The sequence below is a fragment of the Homo sapiens genome, chromosome 15 (assembly GCF_000001405.40).
Source record: "Homo sapiens chromosome 15, GRCh38.p14 Primary Assembly".
Taxonomy (NCBI): domain Eukaryota; kingdom Metazoa; phylum Chordata; class Mammalia; order Primates; family Hominidae; genus Homo; species Homo sapiens.
Window position 1 is genome coordinate 95,453,583 of NC_000015.10, and position 24,959 is coordinate 95,478,541.

General features: G+C 37.4%; 2 long non-coding RNA genes across 6 annotated transcripts in view; one reads left to right on the forward strand and one right to left on the reverse strand.

The window, feature by feature from the left end:
* Nucleotides 1–24,959, forward strand: part of LINC00924 (long intergenic non-protein coding RNA 924) — a 74,755-nt gene that overhangs the window by 20,490 nt on the left and 29,306 nt on the right. For both annotated transcript variants that reach the window (NR_027132.1, NR_027133.1), the window contains exon 3: nt 182–291. This is a non-coding gene — a long non-coding RNA (long intergenic non-protein coding RNA 924). The remainder of the gene's footprint in view (nt 1–181; nt 292–24,959) is intronic.
* The window catches only part of LOC105370993 (uncharacterized), a 30,197-nt gene continuing 15,242 nt past the window's right edge, over nt 10,005–24,959 (reverse strand). For 2 of the 4 annotated variants that reach the window (NR_188326.1, NR_188325.1), the window contains 2 exons: nt 11,138–11,227; nt 10,005–10,804 (listed from right to left, as the gene is read on the reverse strand). This is a non-coding gene — a long non-coding RNA (uncharacterized LOC105370993). Of the gene's footprint in view, nt 10,805–11,137; nt 11,228–16,162; nt 16,297–16,873; nt 17,109–24,959 lie in introns of those variants that run through there. The other 2 variants (NR_188327.1, NR_188328.1) reach the window with 2 other exon arrangements.

A 24,959-nucleotide genomic window follows, 5' to 3' on the forward strand; every position in this document is an offset into this window, starting at 1 on the left:
AATTTTTGTATTTTTAGTGGAGACGGGGTTTCGCCATGTTGGCCAGGCTGGTTTTGAACTCCTGACCTCAGGTGATCTACCTCAGGTGACCTCAGCCTCCCAAAGTGCTGGGATTACAGGCTATGAGCCACTGTGCCTGGCCTGCTTGCTTTTTAAATTAACTATATTACATAATTTTCAGGTAAGACACAGTTATCCAGAAAGAGCCCTAGAGATGGATAAGGAACCTGTTGGAATGCTCTGATATTAAGAAAAAAAAAATTAAATTCAAAACCAAAAACAAGTCACAAGGTAAGGAAAACTTTTGTCACTTTCTTTTATATCTCATGACTTCTTTTTTAGCCATCATTTTATGGCCTGGGAGAAGACCCAAATAAAAGGGAAGGCAGAAGGCTGGGTTGGGGGTTGGGGGGAAGGAAAGAAAAGTTAAAAAAAAAAAAAACCCAAGGAAAAAAAAAGCCAGAATTGAAAAGAAAATACATTTCAAAAATACATCTGGTCCTGCTGAGAGTAACAGCATTCGTGTAAACGTGTAGACAAGTCCCTAAGCTGATTTTTTTTTAAAGTCCACGTCTTTGATATGTATTGCATTCATTCCATAGTACACACACTTGAAATTCAGTAAAGAAAAACAGATCGAGATCACAATTCATTTTTGAGAGTACAACAAGTCTTTTAACTTAATTTTGCATTTTGCTTTTCATTCCAATATTGGCAAATTAGATGTAGACAGAGGGCTGACACAAGACTGTTGTGGCCACTGGTGAGCAGTGAGAAAGATGTCTCCGTCAATGACTTCTTCCCAAGCCGGCTGATGGGTAGCACAGGAAGGCTGTGACCTGTCTCGGAAGCAGTCTAGCCCAGCACAAAAATCACAGGCTTTGAAGCCAAAAGGGAATATTTGTTTCTGATGCTTGACCCTCTCCAATTTGTTACAGTGTCCACAAGAAGTTTTTTCCTGGAAGTCTTTTTTTCAGAGAAATCTATGTACCACGGCTGTGTTCAAACATGATACAGAGACCCCAAATGCCACTTGCTTGCTGTCTTCCTGGGAACAGGATGAGGATGTAATCTGAGCTTTTTAGGGTCTATCTCTACATTGCAACATCATAACACTGAAGTGTAGATTTATAGCTGCTTTATGTATATTTTCTTACTCCCAAAGCCCCCCTTTTTACAGATACATACACAACATGTCATGTAGAAAAATATAAATTGTTGACCGTACAGGCACTTTCTTCCTTTTTAAACCTTTCCAAAGGTCTTTTTGTTAAATACACCCAGATGCCGTTTGACAGATGAGGGGCTAATTGCTCTGTGAATTACCTCTATCGATTCCTGTTTCATGTTGAGCCAAACAAACAAAAGATATTAATGCTTTGAAAAAAATGAATGATGACCTTTCTCTGCAAACACAGCTTGCGGTCTCTGATTATTGGTGATTCCAGAGAGCAGCGGTCAATCGCAATAGCTGTAACGCTATGATCACTATAATAAGCTTGCCTGACCTTCTCTGCCATGTTAAGTGGTTTAAATTTATTTGCCCAACAACAGAAGAGCTTTCACTTAAAGTCACAGAACATTCAATTCAATTTAAAGATGTAGTGTCTTCTTTCCTCTTCTTCCCCTTCCGTATCTTTCCCTACTTGATACACCTACATGTCAAATTTACTAATTGTTTTATCATTCTAAATTAGCCTGATACCTGAAAAGCAAATTCCTTCAGTTCTTAAAGATTCCAATTGCCATTTTCTCTTTTGATTTGTTGTTTCTTGCTCTAAGACATTTGAAACACTTTGTTTTTTTCTCTGTTTAAGTTTTGTCCATGATTCAGGTTTAATGTGTGCTGCATAAAAAGTCAAGAATCCATGAGCTGGGTAGTGCTAAGCACCCCCAGCTTGGGAACCAGGGGTATGGTTCCATTTTTGTCCTTAATTAATGGGACCTTGAACCAATATATATATTTTTTTCCTCAGAGCATTTCCTTCCAACTTGGTAAATGAGGGGAAAACTGCCAGGTGATCTACCTCAGAGCCTCTTTCCAACTGGAACATGCTTATGTTTCAGATCTCTCTATTTAAAGCATAGTTTCATATAGATGGCAGAGTTATAACTTGGCAGCTAAGATAAAGTGATGATAGGACCTTTAAGGACTTCCTAACTGTTTCTCAACGAAGTTTTATGATGGTGAAAATGTGCAAACCACAAATGACTAAAGCCTTAAATGGTTAGGAAGTGGATGCACCCCCACCCCCACCCATAGTTTAAATGGAAATCTCTTGAAAAGGGTACCCCTGACACTCCCACCAATTTCCTGGTAAGAGGCACGCCAAAAATACCAAGGAAGTAGTTTCCCTTAGAATACTTTAGTTCCTGTGCTATAGGATCAAAGCAGGAAGTGAAGAGAAAAACACCACAAATAATCAAAAGACTTCCTGCCTTAGTTTGACATTCTCAAGCAGTTAGGTCTGAATTCACATAGGATGCTGGGTATCCCTAAGGTGACTTTTCTTAGACATTGTCTCTAGTTTCTACTTAAGACAGTGCCCAATAGTACTGCCAAGCCATCCCTTGACCATACTTGACTTGGCTATGTTAAGTACCATGTTGAGTTAAAAAAAAATGCAAAGCATGGTTCCTGCTTGTGTCAGGCGCCTTGCTGCGGCCTCAAAGCACCAGGCTGCTTCTCAGCACGAGGATATTTGCAAATGTGATTGTGCTTTCTCTGCGAAGAATGCCCTTCTACTCTTTTTCTCTTCAAAATCCAATGTTAGTGCCTTCCTAATCCCTATTCACTCTTTAAAATTTCACGTGGCATTATCCCTCTTCCAGAATGCCTCTTATACCATCCTATTAAGGATTCACCATAGCACCCAAGGCACACTTTTATCTCAGCACTTTGCGCATCTATTTTATTGACTGCTCCATTTTTCTGTTTTCCCTGGAAATTTGCACTTTGTATCTCAGGCCTCTGCCACGGAACTTGGGGCTTAGGAAGTGTCCAACTGATGTTTGAAAATTAATAAATGAATGAAAGAATAAATCTTATTGTGACTGCTATATAACAAACCATTCCAAAAGGTAGTGGCTTTAGACAGCTAGGGTTTATGATCACTCATGCATCCGGAGATCAGTTAGGACATAGTTGATCATAGCTAAGCTTGGCTGGGATGGCTCAGCTGATTCTGTTCTCTATGTTCTTCATCTTCCCCTTGGGACAAACAGTGCTGCCCAGGTATGTTCTCATGGCTAAGCATAAGCATAAGAAAGAAAGCAATACCATGCAATGCCTCTTAGGGCATGCTCTCATTTCTACCTTATTCTTTTGGCCACAGCAAGTCATATGGGTAACCCTAAGTCAGGGGATAAGCTCATATACTTATCTCCTTAAGTCACATGTGAAAATCACACATCATAGGCCATAGATACAAGGAGAGATAAAAAATTGGTCACAATAATAAAACCAAACCTATCAAAAAGAAAATGCTAACAACCATGTTAAGAACAGAAAATTTGAATACTAACAGAGCCATTTGACCAATCTCAAGTATTAACGACTCTATCTTCATGTCACCAACATATAACCCAGCCACTTTAATGGCACATGTGTCCCATAAATATTTACCAGATTGTGTTAGATCATAGGAAGTAAATAGAGAAATCACAATTGGACGCATCCTGGTAAATTTAATTTTATGCTTTTTAGAAAGAAAATACTCATGGCAGGCACATGCAAGTGTTATGGACACAAAATGAAAAGCTAAATGATAAATGTTTATCTTGTATGCATGAAGATACTTTGACTTCTGTTTACATATGTCACCGTGGAAGCTGGTTTAAAAACATTTAAGTCCCCCTAGTAGTTCCACATCCAACGACTCCCTTTCTCCTGGACACCTTCTTATTTTCCTTATAACAAGTTTGGAGAAAGGTCAGGTAGGCATTGCTGGCAAGTCTTCTTTTCAGAGTTTCTGCTCAATCACAGAGCTGATGTTCAATCTCCGAAGTCGAGGCGTTGATTTACCAGGAAGAACATAGTTAACTTAAAAGCAGAAAAAGCCCCGGTGGTAATCAAGCCCTGTGAATTCCTGGCCCTCTTCCCCGGAGGCCCAGTGGGGCCCACTCAACGGGCCAACCCCACACCATGCATACTGGATTGGTGGTCCTCTTATCATAGAAAATTCCGCCAGTGTGGCCAAAACATACAAAAGGAAGCACACAAGAAAAAATGTGAATATAATATGCAGGCCCTGGATTGAGTTTTATGAAAAGAAAAAAAAAAGAGGGGAATTTTTCTTAGTTCTTTTTCATAGTTCATAGGATAAGAAATAACAAGACAGATTGCTTATCAAATGTGAGTAGTTTTACTATTTTTTGTGGCAAATTAGACACTAAAAGGGCAGGTTTAAAGTCTGTCCTAATTTTGCCTTATAATCAGATAATTTAAATTTGACTATAAATAGAATCATACATTTTCCCACGATCTGCCTTTCATTTCACACAGAAAGAGTTGTATTATGTATTGAAAACATACAAATCCAGGCATTCTCAAAACTTCTTTCTTTTTTGACTTTAGCTTGTGATAATACAGTATGGTATCGGAATCCTGCCCTATGGCTACAAAACATTAAATTTCTTGAGGCAAAAAGATGCTTGTCGTTCTCGTTTAATCTACCAGAATTTCAGAATCTTGTACTTCCAATTTCAGAAGAAGTAAAAGATGAGAATGTGCTGTCCTCTCTTGCCTGGCCTGGCCCAGTCTCCCTGATTTGTTTCAATATACAGAGACTTCCCTATATAAGCCACCTCCAACTCCAGCATTTGCATTTTTCCACCTTTCTGCTTGTTTATAGTTCCCCTCCATTTTCTTCCAGGAAAAAGTGTGCAAACAACAAATGCATGTTCTGATCTTATTTGAGCAACAAAATCTTGACAGCGTTCTCACCACCATCAGGAAAAAATTCCTTCCATGAACCTAACCCTAGAAAATGCAAAAATTATTGACAAATGTAATGCAGTGGTCAACTTCTTATCTGTAGCCTACAAAACATTAGACATTAGTTTGTTGATGGGAATTAATACGGCCCAAAGTCCTCATTCATTCTTGACAGTTCTATCATATTACTCCATAAGATGCTAAGATATTAGTTGCTGGAGGTGGGGGCAGGGGAGAGAGAATTGATAGAGATGGGAAACTAAGCTGCTCTGCAAATATTCACAGCTGCAGCTTTCTGTAATCATGCTCCTCTTTCCAGTTTCCAGTGGACTTTGAAAAGACAAATTCATAAGAGTTATTTAGCCATAAAAGGGAATCAACTCCTAAGCCCGGCTTCCTGAAGACCTCAGAAACTGAATTACCACAGCACTCCCTAAGGTCCAGAACACAGATTTTTGTTCCCCTCCCACATCCCTATCCCAAAGAAAAGAGTTTTCCCACTAGCTAAAATAATTAAAAACATTCTCAGAATAGAACACAAAATGTTTCTGGTTTGAATACGAGCCTATTTTCAGGAAAAAAAAAATCAATGTATTGCATATTTACAGTTTGATATTACAACAGCAGTGAAACTATCCGTTTGAGGACTTAATTGCATATAAAAATAAATAAATAAAATGTGCAAGGGTAGTGTGTTCTTTCTTGATGTTGTTCTGCCTACCTTTTTGATTTGTTAACTAACTTCAGGGGAGAATCCTTAAAAGGAGGAATACACCAGCCCATATAAAGTCGCTGGTTATCTCTGAACTGGAACTTAGTTTTTTAAATCCTGTCTAGGTAAATTACCTTTCCAGTGCAGGGTATTTCCTTTTAGGAGATTCCTCAGAAAGAGCCTCCAGGGAACTGACTAACTTTTTAATGGTTCACTCAGATTAAGAGGAAGGAAATGTGAACTCCTTTGGGGGCAGGAGGCACCACTCTAGGCTGTCTGCATCCTGTAATTCTTCCCAAGTCCGTGAATCATACTTTTAAGACTCCTTTTCAAGGGCATTTGTCTTCCTTTAAGAGAAGGCCAAAGCAGAAAAGACGAGTTTTAAAATAGGTCTCAATCAAGCTTTAGCCATAACAACAATTGCATGATTCTCTCGCTGACTACCCAGGAAAGGTTGCACTGGATCCCTTACCTGCATGCCTCCCCTCACCTTGCACAATACTCTTCCCTTCTTTAGTTTCAGAATCAAAATGACATTTGATATCATCTCAGCATCTCTGAGCTACAATTCTGTACAACTCTTCCCTTTATAGCCAGCCGCTGACAGTGATTTCACTTATGCCAATGGCATTGGAAGAACTGAGCAGCGATATTTTTCAAAATCATCTTAGATAGAAATCTGGCTTTGAAAACAATGTCTTTACTTAATAAAATATCTACTATGTAGACAATTACAGACTATTTTTATACCTTTTCCACAAAGGTATGAACATTTCTGAGAATAAATTTGTCAGTGAATAAAGTTTATCAGAGTTTGAAGCGTTTAGATCCTTGCAACTTCTGTAGAAGTATGAAGTCACAGGAGCACATTTCTAAAAGGCTGCTATGTTACAATACCAGTTACTCAACCAATAACTTGTATTTATTGAGTATCCATTAAGTGGTGATTTCTATTATTTTCAAGCTCCTACAAAGAGTGGAAAAAGCCAGGCATGGTGGCTCACACCTGTAATCCCCACACTTTGGGAGGCTGAGGCAGGAGGATGGCTTGAACCCAGGGGTTCCAGACTAGCTTGAGCAACATGGCAAGACCCCTGTCTCTTATTAAAAAAAAAAAAAGAAAAAAGAGTGGAACAACCCCGTCACAATGTGCAAAAGGACAAATGTATAATGAAATGGAATATCCACAGAAAGTACGCCAAGAATGAACACTAACGTAAACTGTGGACTTTGGGTGGTGATGATGTGTCACTGTAGGTTCGTCAGTTGTAACAAAGGCACCTGTCTGGTGGAAGATGGAAGGAAGTCACTGCATGTGAGAATGTGAGGGTATATGAGGCCCGGCATGGTGGCTCATGCCTGTCATCCCAGCACTTTGGGAGGCCGAGAAGGATAGATCACCTGAAGTCAGGAGTTTGAGACCAGCCTGGCCAACATGGTGAAACCCTGTCTCTACTAAAAATACAAAAATTAGCTGGGTGTGGTGGTTCACACCTGTAATCCCAGCTACTCAGGCGGCTGAGGCAGGAGAATCACTTGAACCTGGGATGTGGAGGTTAGAGTAAGCTGAGATCATGCCAGTGCACTCCAGACTGGGTGACAGAGTGAGACCCTGTCTCAAAAAAAAAAAAAGGGGGTATATGGGGAATCTTTGTTCCTTCCTCTCAATTCTACTGTAAGACTAAAACTGCTCTAAAAGAATAAAGTCTTTAAAAAAGTATTCAAAGTGAATGGAATCACACAAGATGAATTTAGATTATATTTAAATTAACAGGATTCTTAGAGTTGGTTTGAACAGTTCAGTTGCAATTCCTTAATCTAAAAGTCTCTACACAACATTTATTTTTGACCTAAGTTGATTTCATTTGTAGCAAAATGTGACCCACACCTATGTGGACGATGCAGTCTTTATTTATCCCAGTTGGTGTGTATTCATATGTGTTGTTGCATACATATTAATGGATGCCACCCTAGGTTCCCTGATGATGGCAGATAGTATTTGGCTTTGTGGCCAAGATGTCTTCCAAAATCATAACGGTTCTGAATTACAGGACACATCTCATCCCAAGAGTTTTGGATATGAGATTGCAGACAAAAATACACTGAAAGAGAGAAAATAAGTAAGGAAGAAAATAATAGAAAACAGTTGCTTTCTGTTATACTTTCTCTGATTTCTTGAGAGCTCCTAGTCTTAGATTTCTATGCAGGTCCCCCTTATTATAATTGTCCATTTTTTAATTGAAATTTGTTTTCAGTACTAAAGTGCAAAAAAAACCTAGAAATGTAATTGTGATTTCTACTTAGGTGGACCTCAAAGGTTTTGTATCGATGCCCGTAGTCTGCATTTTGTTTCTATAAGTCTATTTCAACAGAGTACTCAGAAATAGATCTTTCTTTCCTCTCATTCTGTGTAGAAATGTCAGAAATGTGAGGCTAAGGATTTAAAGCATAAATTAGGGATTTGTTGATGAAAAGAAAGAAAGGAGGAAAGGATTGAAAGAAAGAAGAAAGAAGGAAAGAAAGGATGGAAGGAAGGGAGAAAGGAAAAAGAGAAGAAAATAAGAGAAAGGAAAAACGAAACTTTAGCCTGTAGAATCTACATTAAAATGTTTCTCAGTGCTTAAGACATCTTGAAAGAAAAGATGTCAAAGGCAAATTCTAATATTCTAAAACTGCAATCCAATTGCATAAAAGCATAAATTTACATCTAAATCATTTGGAAGAAAATATTTACATATCCTATATTTTTGTTTAGAGCTGATCTCCATAAAATCTCTTATATTATACAGATCCATATTACAGAGATTATATATACAAATATTTTATTGCTTCTGTATGAAACCTGATTTGTTGGGGGATATAAACTATGGCCTTCTCAGGTATCACTGCTGCTTGATTGTTCTGAGTATTGGCTTTCTGACAGGGATTGGAATGAAGCCATTTTTATTAATTTAGTTATTTTTGCTGGTATCAAAGGCCGTCTATCATGTTAATGATGTATCGGTCTGCGGTCCCACCGAACAATAATTACAGAATGTTCCTAATAGTAAATCATTTGTCACAATCACAGCTCGGTACAACAACCTTTTGTTGAGCAGGGGAAGACATTATCTGAATAGCAATACACCTTTATGCGAACCGGTGAGAGGTCTTACACGGACCAGTCCGGCAAATACCTGGGAGTTCCACGTCTGAACTGTCCGTCCCCACATTGCAACTTGGGGATGTGCACTGTGATCTGCTGAATTTTCTCCAGTGTTAGGCTATCTAACACAATGAAAACAACACGTTTTGTCCAGGGAAGAACAGATAAGGTTTCACAAGAAACTGCTCTGAAAAAGAGAAGAAACCAAATGATCGAAAAAATGGAAAACATTAAAGGTTTTTACTTCCATTTCCCCCTTCAGCAAGAATTGGGGACAGAAAGGATATAATACTCAAAAAGAAAAATTGAGGTTAACAAAAAGGCATTGCTATCTAAATTACATGAAAGCTCCATCATCAGAATGACGTAACAGTCAAGTTCTTCTTTGTAAAGATTCACAGACTGCTTTCAGTTATTTTCGAGCACTATTTGTAAATCATAAGAGCCAATATTTTTGGAGTATTTGTATGTGCAGGGAAACTTTTCAAAATAGACTTAATTTCTTTTAGAACAGTTTTAGGTTCACAACAAAATTGAGTAGAAGGGACAGAGATTTCTCATACAGCTCCTGCCCCCCCACAGCTGCCCCACCACCCCTGCTCCACCCAGCCCCCTCCCCCTTGTTATAATTGATAAGCCTACACTGACACACCATTGTCACCCCAGGTCCACAGTTTACATCAGGAAATCTCTTAAGGACTTAATGTGCATTAATTCTTTTCATAGTTTCAAAAACATTGATATTAGTTCCATTTTAGAGATAAGGGAACTGAGGCAGAGAAGAGTTAAGTCGCATCAGGGTGATTTCTGAGATTTGGCCAATTTCAAACCCTAACCCGGTTGATTAACTACTTCTCATTACTGAAGTACCCCAATGAAATAAATCAACAGCATTTGTTGGGTACCCATACGTTTGTTGAGATTTTGGTGAGATGATGTCAATCATGCTAGTTCGGCAAGAATATCCCCATTTCATGGACAAAGTAACCCAATTTCAGAGGAGGAAAAGCTAGGATTTCCATACTGGTCCATGACATGGAGCCTGCAACATTATCACATGGCCTCTGTCCCCATATTCCCGTGTTCTGAAGGAAAAGCTGCCCAGTTAATGAGTAATTGTGCCATGCATGGCTTGAATGGCTGTGTTTTTTATAACAATGATACTCAAACTTGAGGTCCATGGATTTTATAAAATCACAGAAACAACTAACTTCACTTGAAGGGTATGTACTTCTATTTTTTATTTTCTACACAAGTGAATTCCTGATTAGACATTTTATTGAGACAGAAATGAGTGTATATAAAGGAAGAAATTCTAAAATATTTGTTCATTAAGCCCAGTGACTTGAAAATAACCTCAAGATCAATTAAAATATAGGAAGTAGAGGGAGCCATAAGTTGTGGTATGAGTTTAAAAGACCACATCACAGAAAAGAAAAAGATTTTTTTTAAAGTATCAACAATAGAAATTGTTCTAGAAGTTTATGCGCAGGAAAATTGGGAAGCCCATGCTTCCCAATTTTCTTTGTGTTTTAAAAAGCCATGCATACAGCTCTTGCTCTTTGATTTTCCCAAAATGAATCTGGAAGCCTCGAATTAGCATTAAATGGAATAATTTGTAAGTGCCCCCTCCCCTCAGACACTTACCCTTTCTTTTATTGTCTAGAATTTTGTTGGAGGTATCCTTGGACTCCAACAGGCAAGTCTAACTTGCTTTTCTAGTGTCATACCCAAAATACCAATTAAGTTGAATAGGGAAATGAATATACTTATAAATTTTTGACAGCCACTGACGGCGATAAGGCAGTCCTTGGCCATAACTTGAAATCAGTTATCAGGGGATACCAGAGGAACAGAAAGTTGTTTTTGCCAAGCCCTTGCAGCCTCCTTTCCTCACATTGGCCAGATGGCCTGGAGGTGGCACTTGCAGCTGCTTCTGGAAGGAACCTGCTGCAAACACACAGGCATCCTTGACACTGCCACCGCACTTGCATTCCAAAGGGAAGAAGTCCTGTTTGGAAAAGAAAAAAAAAAAAAAAATCAAATGGCTACCTCTTGCCCCAACCTCGCTGTCCCCTACCCCTATGTTCTGTCCAAAAGAAAAATCCCTCAGCCGCAATGGTTGTTTTTATTAAATTCTCCTCAATAAAAAGCTCAGGCAGGATTTATTAGGTACTCAGGGCGGACGTTTAGTATTTCGCCAGTTATTAAGTGAAAATCAATAGAAAGCAAAGAAAATGGAAGTCACTGCACTGTTAGCGCACTGTTGTCGCCCAGATATTATGTCGGCTGTCTTGTAGATTCATGACAGACGAAAGAGGCCGGGAGAGAACTTTCTGCTTACATTGCACGAGCCAAAGTGGGGTTATTCATTAGAGCAGGCAGCCGGCCAGATGGATTTCCAGTTCAGTTTTACCATTTATCTTTAAAACGCCTGTATCGAGTGAGAAAGAACACTGATATTATGTGATATCAATGGCAGGTTTATGTATCTAAATCAGGATTTATTGTTATTTTGTTCCAAAGACCTTTTTTTCTCAAGAAATACCATTTCACTGGAAGAAAATAATAGCTAAAACCTTGTCAAAGATAACCTTTCATGCTGTCCGTGCAGCACTAGCTGTAAAACAAATAGAACCCAGGATATAAATAGTTTTAACCACATCCTTACAAATCATTTCTTCTGAATCTGTTTTCCCCATTTCAATATATATATATTTTTAATGCCACATACATGATTTTGGGTCATTCAATGTTTTCTTTGCCTGTAGTTTAGCTCTAAATAATGTCAGCAATTATTTTAATTCCATCTAAAAGCTTTAGCTGTTTTGTGTTCTTCTGTGGAATGCCACATTTCTCAAAAGCGTTCTTTGGAAAAAGCAAAGAGATCTGCTGTTTTTTTTTTCTTCCCTGCCTTAGAATGAGCTTTAGAGTCAAAAACACCCATCATCTTTTTTCAACTACTTCAGGGTCTTCAAAAGCTAGGACATGTTTTCTTTTCACTTGAATTCACATTTTTGGTAGCGTCCGGGTTTTCCGATTCCCTCTCATCTAAAGGACAGATTACAGGAGACCTGGGCAGATCCAATCTCCAGTCAATCCTGCTAAGTAACAAAGGTGGCCAAATACCAGGATGAACCATTGTATCCACTTTATAAACAGCTCTCAAGAAAATACAGTCAATATATTTGTAAAATGTCATTAGTGACACTTTGTGATTAGGAGAAAAATTATACCTGGGTTTTGACTGAAGCGGTTGCCAATAAAGAAATGTGAATGTATTTTTAAGCTACCTTATTTTTACTTTTTCTATCCTTTGGGTTTGGGAAAAGAGAAGATACATTTAGGTTTATATGGATCAATATTAGATAGTAGCCAGACAAGGTTATTTAAAGACCAATATACATTTATGCATTTCTTTTCTTTTTTTTTTTTTTGAGACAGAGTCTCGCTCCTTTGCCCAGGCTGGAGTGCAGTGGTGTGATCTCAGCTCACTGCAACCTCTGCCTCCTGGGTTCAAGCGATTCTCCTGCCTCAGCCTCCCGAGTAGCTGGGACTACAGGCGCCCGCCACCACGCCCAGCTAATTTTTTGCATTTTTAGTACAGACGGAGTTTCACTGTGTTAGCCAGGATAGTCTCGATCTCCTGACCTCGTGATCTGCCTGCCTCAGCCTCCCAAAGTACTGGGATTATAGGCGTGAGCCACCGCATCTGGCCAATATGCACTATTAAGTGTCACCGACTTAGAAAAATTATCTAAAAACCAACTGAAAGCTTTTTGCTACCATTGGACAAAAGTGCTATTATATTGAAAAGTAAGAAAATAAAAGTAAAAGATAGATTATAAAATAGTTGTTCCTTAATAGTCTTCTTTATCTAACTAACTAAATTCCTCAAACATATTGAAGAGCTCAATTATACCAGGAATCCCTTCTTGTAGTTTTCTATTTAGCAGTTTTTCGCTTTTTAAAACTGCATTGACAATCCAAAGGGAACTTTCCTTTAGGATGGCGCCCTCCAATAAAACACAGAAAGTTCTTTATAATTCTCACTTTTTAAGAAAAACTATTCTAAAACCCTGTATAAATTTTGCATGTGTGTTTGGACCTGTTGATCAGGAGGCAATAGAGAATAGTGGTTAAGAAAATGGGCTCTGAAATTAGATTACATAAGTTCAAATCACAGTCTGTCACTCCCTGGCAGTATGATTTGGGGAAATTATTATAGCACTATGCCTCAGCTTTCTCATCTGCATAAAAAAGACAATAACCTTATAGATTTCTTGCCAAGAATACAGGGGTCAGTATAGGTAAAGTTCATAGACTATCACTTGCTCGATGTTAAGTCCTCAAAGCATTAGGTAGCTATTACTTTGAGTATACAAAATCCAGAACACCAACTCATCCATGCTGATGCTTTGATTTTCCAAGAAAATGGAATATAGTCCCACAGAGATTCAATTAACCCTCCATTTTCATATTTACTAATGTATTTGGACCCTGCAGAAAGATACAGTCTTAAGCTTCAGCTGTAATGAGAATCTCACTTAAACCAAAATTTTGTATTAAATGAATTTGCCTTAAAAAAGTCTCTTTTTTTGGGATCAACATTCAATCTGAAACACTAAAAATAGTCTATAGGCAAAAACCACATTATTGATTTATTAATAGCTGTACTGATACAATAGTCATGAGGCTTAATGTCTGATTGGGGACCTATTTATAGACATCTTAATTTGTTGAAAACAATGTCTAGCTATTTCGTTCTAACAAATAACATTAGCAACACACGCAGTTATGAAGAAAGAAATGATATTGCTAATTAATACGACTTGAGCAGTGAGAAAACTAAGACATTAATGCCAAAGAAAATCAAAGTTGATGACTTGGATTCATTGCCCATATGCATCATGTCACTTGAATAGTTGCCAAGCCTGTGTCTTACTTTGACTTTATAGTATCAGCCCACTAGCCTTTTATCTTGCTTACCCTCTCTACACATCAGGTTTCTTACTTGTAGAGGCAGTATAATACGCCTTCTTTATTCACCCTACAGTTGAGGACTGAAGGAGAAAGCGTAAAACACTTATTAAAAGAAAACGATACTTTTTACAGTCAGACTGGTGGGAAAATCAGTACAATTAATAAAACAGTGATGTTAGGAAAGAGTGACTACTGTCTGCTTTATTGCCTATTCATACGTACGCCTACATTTGTTCAACAAAAGTTGTTTGAACGCCAAAGACATGGAGGTTCAGAGCCTAAGTTGGCCCCAGCTGCCTAGCCCCACCCTTCCCTCTCCCTCTGGGTGTCTGTAAGTGGTTTAACCTCTCTGTGCTTCAGATTCTTTGTTTGCAATATTGCGATAACAATAGCAGCCAGTTATGTACTAAAGGAGATAAATAGTACCTACTTATGTATTAAGTAAGATCATACATATAAAGTGCTTACAATAGCACCTAATAAACACTCCATTATGGTTTCACTATTATTTGCTTTCCAAGTGCACAATATAATGCTGATCAATTCAGAAGACAAGACCCTGACCTCATGAGCTGATCAGAAAATCGGCCTCATCTTAGATCAGAAAATTCAGATAAACATATAGGCAATTTTTATAGGGTGGGATATTAAAAAATGACATCCCAACTCTCATTGAAGGAATGAGATGGAGGTAGAAAAGACTTCCTTGTGGAAGTGATAGCTAAGCTGAAAAATTAAAGATGAAGTCAGAAGGTAGAAAAGGTGGCTATAAACCTGAGGTGTTTAATGAAACCCCCTGCTATAAATGAATGGCCTACAGCTGCACTTCCCGATATGGTGGCCACAGCCACATACAGCTATGGAGGGCTTGAAACGTACCTAATGCATGAGAGGAACTAAATTATGTTCGTTCATTTTAATTTTTTTTTCAAATTTAAATTTAAATAGCCACACGAGCCTAGTGGCTAAAGCACTGGGCAACTCAGCTCTAGACAGAGGGAAAAACACATGCAAAGGTCTAGAGATAAGAGAATTCTTCTATTCTGAAGACCTGATATTTTGAAAAACAGTAGATTCTTGAAGGATGTGACTTCTGGAAATCAGCAGAGGCGATGCATGGTTTACTGCAAAGTTCACGCATTCACTGAAGCTATGGAAAACCACTGAATGATAATAAGAAGGAGAGTGATACAATCAGTTTTGAAATTTAGTAAGATCTCTCCAGCCATAGTTATAATAGTAGCTAGAATTAGTAACACTTTATAGTTTACACACTTTTTGGATAACCTGACCTCTCTTAATATTCAAATCCCCTGTATGAGGTAAGTCTATACTTCCTTTTCTATATCTTATTCATTGTGTCTCCAATCAGCAGCCTATGCTCTTGCCCATATCCCTTAGAAGACAGACCTGATAAAAGGAAAACATTTGCATGATATCAGTGCGCAGACTCATTCATTCCGATGTTCATAAATTAATCTGGAAAACAGCAGCAGTTACTTCCAAAGAAATGTTTAAGAATCATTTTCCTCAGTGTGACCTGACTGTAAAAGTACAAATGCATTCAGTCGTGGTCCCATGGGCCGTCCCCCACTCCCAGCACATTAGTTAACTCCTCTTGCTGTTGCCGGCGAGAGCCTGAGCTGCTCCGTGCGCACAGAGTGATGAGGGATGAGCCTGCCTCACCCGGGTTCCTGCGGACTTCCCCTCACTCCCACATCTGTATCCCTCCTTGCCTCGCAGACAAGTTGAAAAGAGAACCCGGACTAGGCAGGGGTATCCACTGCAATATGCTGACGGTCTGGCTGCTGACCTGAATCTCCATGTCAGGTCTGAGTAGATAAAAGGTGGCATTTTTGTAAGTGGGGATGAGGAAGGAGCACGGCCACTCTGCCCTGGAGTCAGCGCTTCTTACCAACACGTGCACTCACCTGCAACATTAACCCAGCGATTCTCTTAGTAAGAAATTTTCAAAAACAAAAATATGCTAACGTTTGATTTGATTACATCAAGTTATTTTTTCTCTCTTTTTAAAAGGAAGATTATTAATAAAATCACACTTCCTTAAAAGAAAAAAAAAACAGGGACTGTCAATGCTGCACTAATTTGATTACACACTGGCACTGTAAGACACTAATGTAAATATTCTGGTGAGTAGGCATAAGACGCTTGAAGTAATTACTTAAGGACTCCCTTTCAAACAATCGCTCCCTTTTTTTATTAAATGCCTTTTAACATTAGCACTTTCTTCCTGACAAATTAAATGAAATTTCATTACTCTCCCTGACTTAATGGCATTAGGCTCCCGCCTAGGTGTGAGTTAACCCTCCCAGGACAGCTGACAACGGCTCCCACACTCCGTCAAAATGGCACTGTCCTAACTCACAAGAGAAAAGAAGCCTGGAAGAATCCTTTGTGTTTTTACCAGAGCTTCCGGAATCCTTCATTTCTTTGATGTTTTTTCAGCTGTGATCCTTGCAAAAATCTAAGAAACCAGTGGTATTGTTGTTTTCCAGTGTTCTTGAGTTCACCGCCAAAAAAAAAAAAAAAAAAAAAAGAAAGAGTATCTTTCACTGAGACTCTAATAGTGACAACAAGGATAACAATAACGGCAAACAGTTATACAGTACTTCTTAAATATCTTCTAAGCAATTTAGCTCTTTTAACTCATTTAAACCCCAACAAAACACTATAAGGTAAATACTGTTAATTCCTACTCTCAAAATAAGGAAATTAAAGTACAACATGGTTGAGCAATTTACCCAAGGTCACATAGTTAAAAAGCAACAGAGCTAGGATTCAACCCAATCAGCCAGCTATTGTCAGACACTTTTATACATATAATTATTGAATCTTCAGCCCTGGATTGACATAGACTTATTTCCATATTCCTTTTTACATTTGTGCAAATCAAGATTCGGACATGTTAAACGACAAGTTCTAGATCATGCAGTTTGTGCCACCCAGGAACTTGTCACCAGCCATGTCTTCTTGACAAATGAGCTTCGAAATTAAGTTTCCAAAGGATGGTCTCTGAAAAATGGTGTTTCTATACCCCCTTCATTACACTTATTAAGAAAAAAAGCTAATGACTTACTTTTAAAAGAAAAAAAAGGAAATAGAGATTACTGTAAGATTGAATTTATTTCTAATACTTTAGGAATTAAATTATAAAGTGACAAGAAAAATTACAGAATAATTGCTCAGGAACTGTGGGTCTGAGGTCCTCGTCCTACAAATCTCAGTATGAACTAAAAACAAATATGTGCTAATTTTTGTTAAGAGAACAGTTGAGAAAACCTTCACAAAGTGAACACTGCAAGAGTCGTTCTGTTTTTAGATAGAACTTGTGCCTGGGAGTATGCCAGAGAGACACTCCCAAGATACGTGTAACACTGATAAGAATGGCATGAGTGAGTTCCCTAAATTGTGTCCCTGGCATTTTTTATTTAGCTATCTTTTTTGGGATACATGGTCATATTTTCTACCCACCAAGTTTTACCTCTAATATTTTTAAAGTCTACTAATTTTTTTTCTTGTTTAGACCTAACTTTCTTTCTTACTCTTATTTTGGACTTAATTTTATTCCATCTTCCAGGGTTACAATACATTTAGAGGTCTGAACAACACAGAAGCATAATGAGAGAACATTCTATCTGGTCAACTTTGAATTTCTGCAGACAGGGCCAACTTTTAATGAGAATACATTTTTATTTTACTTCCCTTCTCTCTATCTGACCCAGTGATACTTCTCTTTGGCTGAAATTGTTTTCTCTACATAATCCTTTTTCCTGTCTGTGTCACCAGTAGCTGGGACTTCCCGATGTCATGTTCCATCTTACCAAAAGGGTGTCCTTTCTAAGACCTCAGGCCATGTGGAAGAAAAATAATCAGCTCAAAGTTCAGAAGACAAATGTTACAAGGGGGAATTTTTTTTCTCCCCTTGGTTGTTCTTAAACATATGTAGCTTTAAGGATCAGTATGTCAGTGTTTTGAAAGAAGCAAAGACTGAATTTATTTTGGTGGAGCTATCAGATTCTGAGGAGCTGGACCATTTGTTTTCCTCTTGTGAGGTCCAGGTAAAAGTTCATTCCCTCCATGGCCTGGTGCTTCTGACAAACAAAAATCAAGGACCCAAAATAAGTATTTTATCTAAAAAATGTGAACTATCCCAAAACAAACATGAAAAAGCACAGCTGCCAAATTCCACAAGTAAAAAGAGTTGGAGGTTGAGACAGCCCACGATCTCGCTGGGGAGTAATGGGTAAAGTTTGGCCAGCTGCCCTTAAGGCCTTGAGGGACACTCAATCCAATTGCTGTGTCTTAGCGGATGTGAATTTCAAGGTTACACCTGGGTGTTCAAGGGCAGGGCCAAGTGTAATCGGCACTTAGATCATAGATTAATCTTATTTGCCATCTATTAGGTTTGATTCCTTTTCCCTCTCTCCCTCCCTAAAGCCAGGATTATTGTGATAGTTTAAGATAATGGATTCTAACGGAAGAAAGGTCACGCAGGCATGGAGATTTGGAACCTTAAGATAATATGATTAATCTAAAAGCTTCTTTCTCCAAGGGGAGGGCCGCACTTTTCATATGTCTAATTGAGAGAAGAGAGCTGAAAGACCGAGAAAGAGCAACAGCAGAGGAGTGTAAAGGAACTGAGTCCTTGTCAACAACTGCAATTAATTATCATTGTCAGGATGATCTTTCATTAGTTTTCACACTAATAAGATAGATCTGCCTCATGCCTGAGGCTGATAAAACCTTATTGGCAATGTTGATAAGAATATGTCAGTATGGAGAGCGATTCATGGACATCTTTATTTTATTTTTCTAATTTTCCAAAACTAAATGACTAGCTGGATATTGCCAAAAGTGACTACATCTAGGTTCTTAAGGCTATGAAATGCAGCAAAAGTCCTTAGCAAAGCAGCATGATTGGCATAATCTAAACAACAGGTAAATGTTAACCATTGTTATAAATGCTATCAATACGTAAGTGCATATTATGTAACCTAAACAATAGGCAAATGTTGACCATTGTTATAAATGCTATAAAAATAAGTATATACATATTATATATTTTAAGGTATGTAGTCTAATCTTATCCCTTTCAGGTAGTTCAAGATAACCCTAACTAACCAACTTGGAGAGATCCATAGAAGGAAATTAAGAGTAATATTTATTTGTTTATTAATCATGATGCATCAAGATTCGAGGCTTCTGATAAGAAATCATTAGACTTGGTCCACTTGCAAGAAAATTAGAAATTAAATGCAAATATGGGTTCTCTACTATCATTTTTTTTCTTTTTTCTAGGACAGAAACTGTTTTACTCTTTATTTATTGTAACTGCCAAAATACATTCATCATTGTGGCTCACTGTGATTTTGGGGTTACTTAAAATGAATAGAAATATGTATCCCCTTGCTTGAAATATATACATGTATATTTCTTTTCTTATATACATACATATAGTAAAGCCACTTTCATTACATTTAACTTGCTCTATTGTCCTCATGCTGTTAGATTGTTTAAGGCAAACAACAGAGAAGAGGGATGGACCTCCGGGGTGGCCAGTTTGCTTCCAAATGCTCAAATGTGTGGCCTTGGGGAGAGAAAACTGGTATTTTTATCTGTAATGTATAATTTTTCTAAATAAGATTCTTCCTTTTAACAAATAGAACTTTCTTGGTTTATTCCCTCAGTAAAAAAGAGGGCAACATGTTTTTTTTCTTTAACCAAGATGACAGAATAGGAGAGGAGACCATTCCTGAATGTGCAGGACCCAGTGCAAGGGCTAAAGAGTGGCAATACAATTAGAATGTGAGATATGCCTGTTTAATATAATCTGTGAGGTAGTAATATATGCCAATCATCATTCAGTGAGATTCTCAAGACTCTGAACAGTATAAAAGCTATACGAAATAATTAGTTCTCAGTAAGAACCATGTAGCCTAGCATGAAAACCAGCTGCATCATGAGTGGAAACGCCTGTGTTCAAATCAGACTAACATGCAGTTGCTTCAAGATGAAGTTCAGATAAGGTAGAGCAAATTGATGCTGAGCACGTGCAAAAATAAAACACATTCCTCTGGGTAAAACTGGATTTTTTGGAAATTTCAAGCTTTCCACTAAATAATGCTTTAATTCATTGACTTCCCAACTTGAAAATATACTAGTCAGTCATAAATTCATTCTGTAACCCAAAGAAGTGAAAAAAATATTTGTAGATTCTGGGACAGACTATTATTTTCCCATGCTCTAAAACCAAATTTTTATTGAGTTTTAAAAGTCTACTTTTTAACATGTGTAAAAATGGAGCATTTGGGAGTATAAGAAGACAAAATATGGGGATTCACATGCTGACCCTTAGTTTCTGGCCGGTTGTTACAAGTGGTTGAGATTGAAATGTTCTGGACCAGTGTATAATATCAGCTCTTAAATGTTTTGTTTAATTTCAAAGTTTGATAATGGCAAAAAAAAAACAACAAATATTATGTTCTGGAATCTCATTCTGCTCTTCAGAACAACCACCATAAAACACACCAAAGCAAAAACAAAACAAATACTGGTTTTGCCCATTCAGTTTATTCTGAGCTGGAAAGTTCCAGGAAGGCTGGCTGGGCCCCTGTCTGTCATATTCCTTTCTATCCTAATCTCATTCCCACATTCTGATTTTTCCTATCCACAGAACGAGGTGTTGGCATTCAGCAACCCCCATACATCAAAGCTTTACCTAATATATGATGTGTTTATTCTTCCCAGCCACAGGGCATATCACTCTCAAATGACTGACAACAACTCTAAAATGAAGTGAGCCCGAAGTGGGTTCTAATAGTTATGGGAAGCCTCTCTAGTCAAACATAAAGCAAATTAATGTGAGCCCCCTCCTGCACCTTCATTCTGGAAATGTCATAAAGTAATAAGCATGGAGACCCTCACAATGTCAAGGACTGGATTTCAATAGATTTACATATTAAAGGCACAGGACACATTTCGTTAGCACTAACATCAAACTTGTAAGTTTCTAAATTATAAGTTCTTTATTTTAAAAATCAGTTCTTATTGTGGGCTGAATGCACAGAAGAGTAATGATATAAATGCAATTGTACATCTATTTCACCCATCATAGTTTAATTTTAAAGGGCAAATTAAGCAAAGACTTAGAAACAACTTGTACGGCTATGAATTACCCATATTTCTATGGTGTCACATTGTGTTTGTGTGTATGTATGTGTATCTCAAGACTGGTGTAGAGAAACAAATGAGTGAAGGAAATAGAGAAAGGAACAGTACGTATTGACAACAAATTTTTAGTGAATTCTGATTTTACCTCACTCCAACAGTGCCGGGGAAAATGCTCAAGAGGAATGTTGTTGATAGACTCCATTGTTGTTTTGCCGTAGGAGACTTACAAAAGCAAACTCGACATTTTTTTCAATCTTTGAACCTGTAATATCCTAAAATATCAGGTCTAAAAATGTATCACAAAGCCATCTACTCTGTGACTAGATGACTGGAGAAGAGATAAGCCTTTGTGTCCCTGATCATCAGGTTGCTTGGGTAAATTCCTTTGTTCTCTGGTTGTGTTCGAGATGACTTTCCTACCATGTCAGTCATCAGACTAACCAAGTAAGTTACCAGTATGCCAAGTGAACACAAGACATGTATATGCACATTTATACACGTTTTCTGTTTCTCTCTCTCACGTGTGTGCAGGCACACACACACACACACGTTTTGCTTATTTCCTCTGGAAGCAATAAAAAACAACTCAGCACTGTGCATAAAATTGGGAATATACATGAGCACACAAGAAGATTTCGTCTTGTTTTTTAGTTGCTGCCAGGATGTCCTAGAAGAATTATTTCTTTCACATTTCAAGTCAGTTTATGAATAAAGTGCAAGGTAAGCTTTCTTCTGAGTGAATATAAGGCAATTTACCTCTTATCGAAGAAACCGAGTAAGGTTTTCAAACCCTGCTAACTTTAAGGAGGGAAAAGAGCTATGGAACATACATTGTTTAAAAAAATAATTTAACAGCTTATACCCAGATGGTTTCATTAGTTGGATTTTTTTCTTTTTTCTTTTTTTTTTTTCTGTTCACTCAGAGCTATAGCCCTAGTATTAAGCAAATTTTAAAAAATGCAATTTCTAAGAAAACTTTTCAAAACCTAAAGACAAACAATTGCATCAAAATATGAAAGCAAAACAGAACTACACTTGGGATAGAATATAGTTTATTAAAGTATAACTCATATTTTCCTAATTTTTCTTCTTTAATATTGTGAGCTTTACTAGTAAAATTAAAAATTTATAACATTATTGTTTGTGAAATTTAAAGGAAATCATTCTTTCCTTTCTGATGTTTCGAGAAACTAAAAAATGTACTATTACTTAAGTGTGTTACTTGTGAGAGAGAGTGTGTGTGTGTGTGAGTGTGTGTGTATGTTTGACCAAGCAATCATTTGATTCACTGAACCCAAATACATTCTTTCTTGTGTGGGATGATAATTCAACATCTTGCTAATTACAGGGCAGAGTACAGACCAGAAAAGACACTCTTTAAATAGTGTATTCTATAAAGTCAGTTCTAAATTTTTTATCTAGTCCCCTTCCATGTGCTATAATAAGCAAACTTTTCTATTGTGACTTGAGTTACATTTTTTGTGTTTTCATTAATTTTATTAATTTTGTTTTTATTTCAGAGGGCATTTCTGCTCTTAAATAAGAACTCATGTAAAAAGAGCTTTCATTTAAATTCTTAATAAAAACTTGGCTTCACAAAGGAAACGTGTTAAATGTTTATGCCTTTCAAACAAAAATCATCTTGTCTTCTTTGTGAATAATCTTAAAAATTTAGAACACCGTGAAGGCAAAAGAAACAAAATCTTTTCAATATGCCAATTTGTTTAATGCTGCACTACTGAAGCTGCACTCCAGTGATATCGTATGATATTCATGGACATTCTAAGGTGTTGAGTTATATACCTATAGTTCCAAAATGTTCCAATTAGGTGAAATTCTAGAATCAATATTAGAAAAGAAGCTGGTAACATCTCACTTATTCATAGAAATAAAAGCCTGGAGCTGCACACTGCAGATCCTTACAAGTCAAAAGATCTTTCTCCCTTCAAAGCCAGCAAGAGGAAGAATGATCAAAATCCAAAACGACCTTCTATAAAGGAGAAAACACATGCATATGTTATAAAACATCTTTTTTTAATACATTTTAAACTGAAATATATCTAAAAATGTAATCAGCAAGTGCAGGTGAGTGTGTGCATTATATGGGGGGCAGCCACGGGTTTTCTGAGGGGAGGATTATAAATATCATTAATTCTATGAACACACAAATAAAAGATTAGCTCTTAATAAAAAGATACAACATTTTAAGTGTGTATCTCTTTTTAATCAGTCACTCTTTGCAAGTAAGGCTTTATTATTTCTGAGTTCTTGACAGGCACTTGAAAAAAGGTCACATAATAAACTGTGCTTATTTCTCATTGCAGAAAAACAATAAGTCATCTCTGCATCCATTATTTACAAAATTGTCTTCATTTTTCTTCACCTGCTGTGTTTTCAGCAATAAAGATAAATAATATTATAAAACCAGCCTAGATATTTTCAGAGTGATCCAGAATTTGACAATGAGCTAGTCTTCTGGAGTTGAGGAGAGTAAAAGAATTAGGAAGAATTTGCTATCCAAATTGTTTACCAAAATATATTAAAGGTTATTTTTCACAGAAAGATCCATCTGGAACAACAAATATATATATTGGAAAAAATGTTTTAAATAAATGTAAAGTGATGCACTAAAATTTTATTATACCATTTCCTTTCAAAGAAATTATATTTTCGTAGGTAAATAAACACAAAGTACTTTCTTTTCCAACTCTTTTTTTTCTCTCTTCACTGCTCTATCATTAATAATTTCTGGCCTGAGCAGAAGTCCCTGTTGCATAGCAAAGAAATATTTTTAAATGTCTTAGCAAAGAAAATAAAGTATCTAAATGTGTTTCCTTACAATTAAAATAGCTTAGCAATTAAGAGCCTGTGTTCAAGGGTCAGACTGCAAACCCATGCTCTGACTCATGTATGCACTGAACTGGTTGAGTTTCTCTGTGCCTCGGTGGTCTTATCCAAGCAAAGTGGTGGTGATGTGGTATTTAATGTCTGGTTAAGTAAATGGCCCAAGACCACGTAACAAACAACTTGAAGCTGGGATTTGAACATAGACAATTTAGATTTAACATCTGTGCCCTTAACCAACAGAATCTAGCACATGCTGGGCCCATTAAGGCCCCTTAAAGAGCTTTCAGAAGACAACCTGGTACGATGGCCCTGCCTTGTGTCACTATTTTATTCGGCAGTTCCAGCCTGGTTCTGTCACATTGTCTCATCACAAAATTGGATTGCACAGAACTCAAATGGAGAGGACGTTCAAACTCAGGAATGTGGAGCACTCATCATCTGCTGTGGTCAAAGAGACAATCTGTGAAGAAAGTGAACAAGGCAGATGGAGATAAATTCAAAAACAGAGATCCGAAAGGCTGCTAAGAGAGAAAGGAACAGGAATCTCCCAGTTCCTGAGAGCCTCCCAGGCTTTCTCCCTCGATGTTTGTGAGTTTTCCTGACAGCTTTACGCTCTTGGTCCATAGGAAAAATTTGTGACCTGGATATATGTGTGTATGCGTGTGTGTGTTTGAAGAAAGGTCATGAGATTTATGTCAATTTAAGTTAGTTTCTATTCTTTATACAAATGAAATGTCTTAAAACATATTGGTAATACTTTGCTATTTTAATTTAACTTTGGTGCTTTTTTTTTTCTTGTTTGATAACTTTCTAACAAACATTGCAAAACCCTAGCATTTTCTCGACTCTTCTTTCAGATCCATTATTCCCCAGCTCAAGAACACACCAACCCCAAGTCCTCTCTCACCCTCCTTTTTGGGCTCCAGCATCTCTGCCTTTGCTCAGCTCTTTCAAACACCTACATTGCCTGCTCCCAGAGCTTCCAGTTAGTCTCCTACTCAAGTTCAAACTCAATAGTCCCTCCTCTGCAACGTCTTCCAAATCATTCAGGAGGAATTGATAATTTTCTTATTTGTACTCACACTGCATTTTATATATTGCCTTATACTATATTATGTTTTTGTTAGTGGTTAAATTGTTTCCCT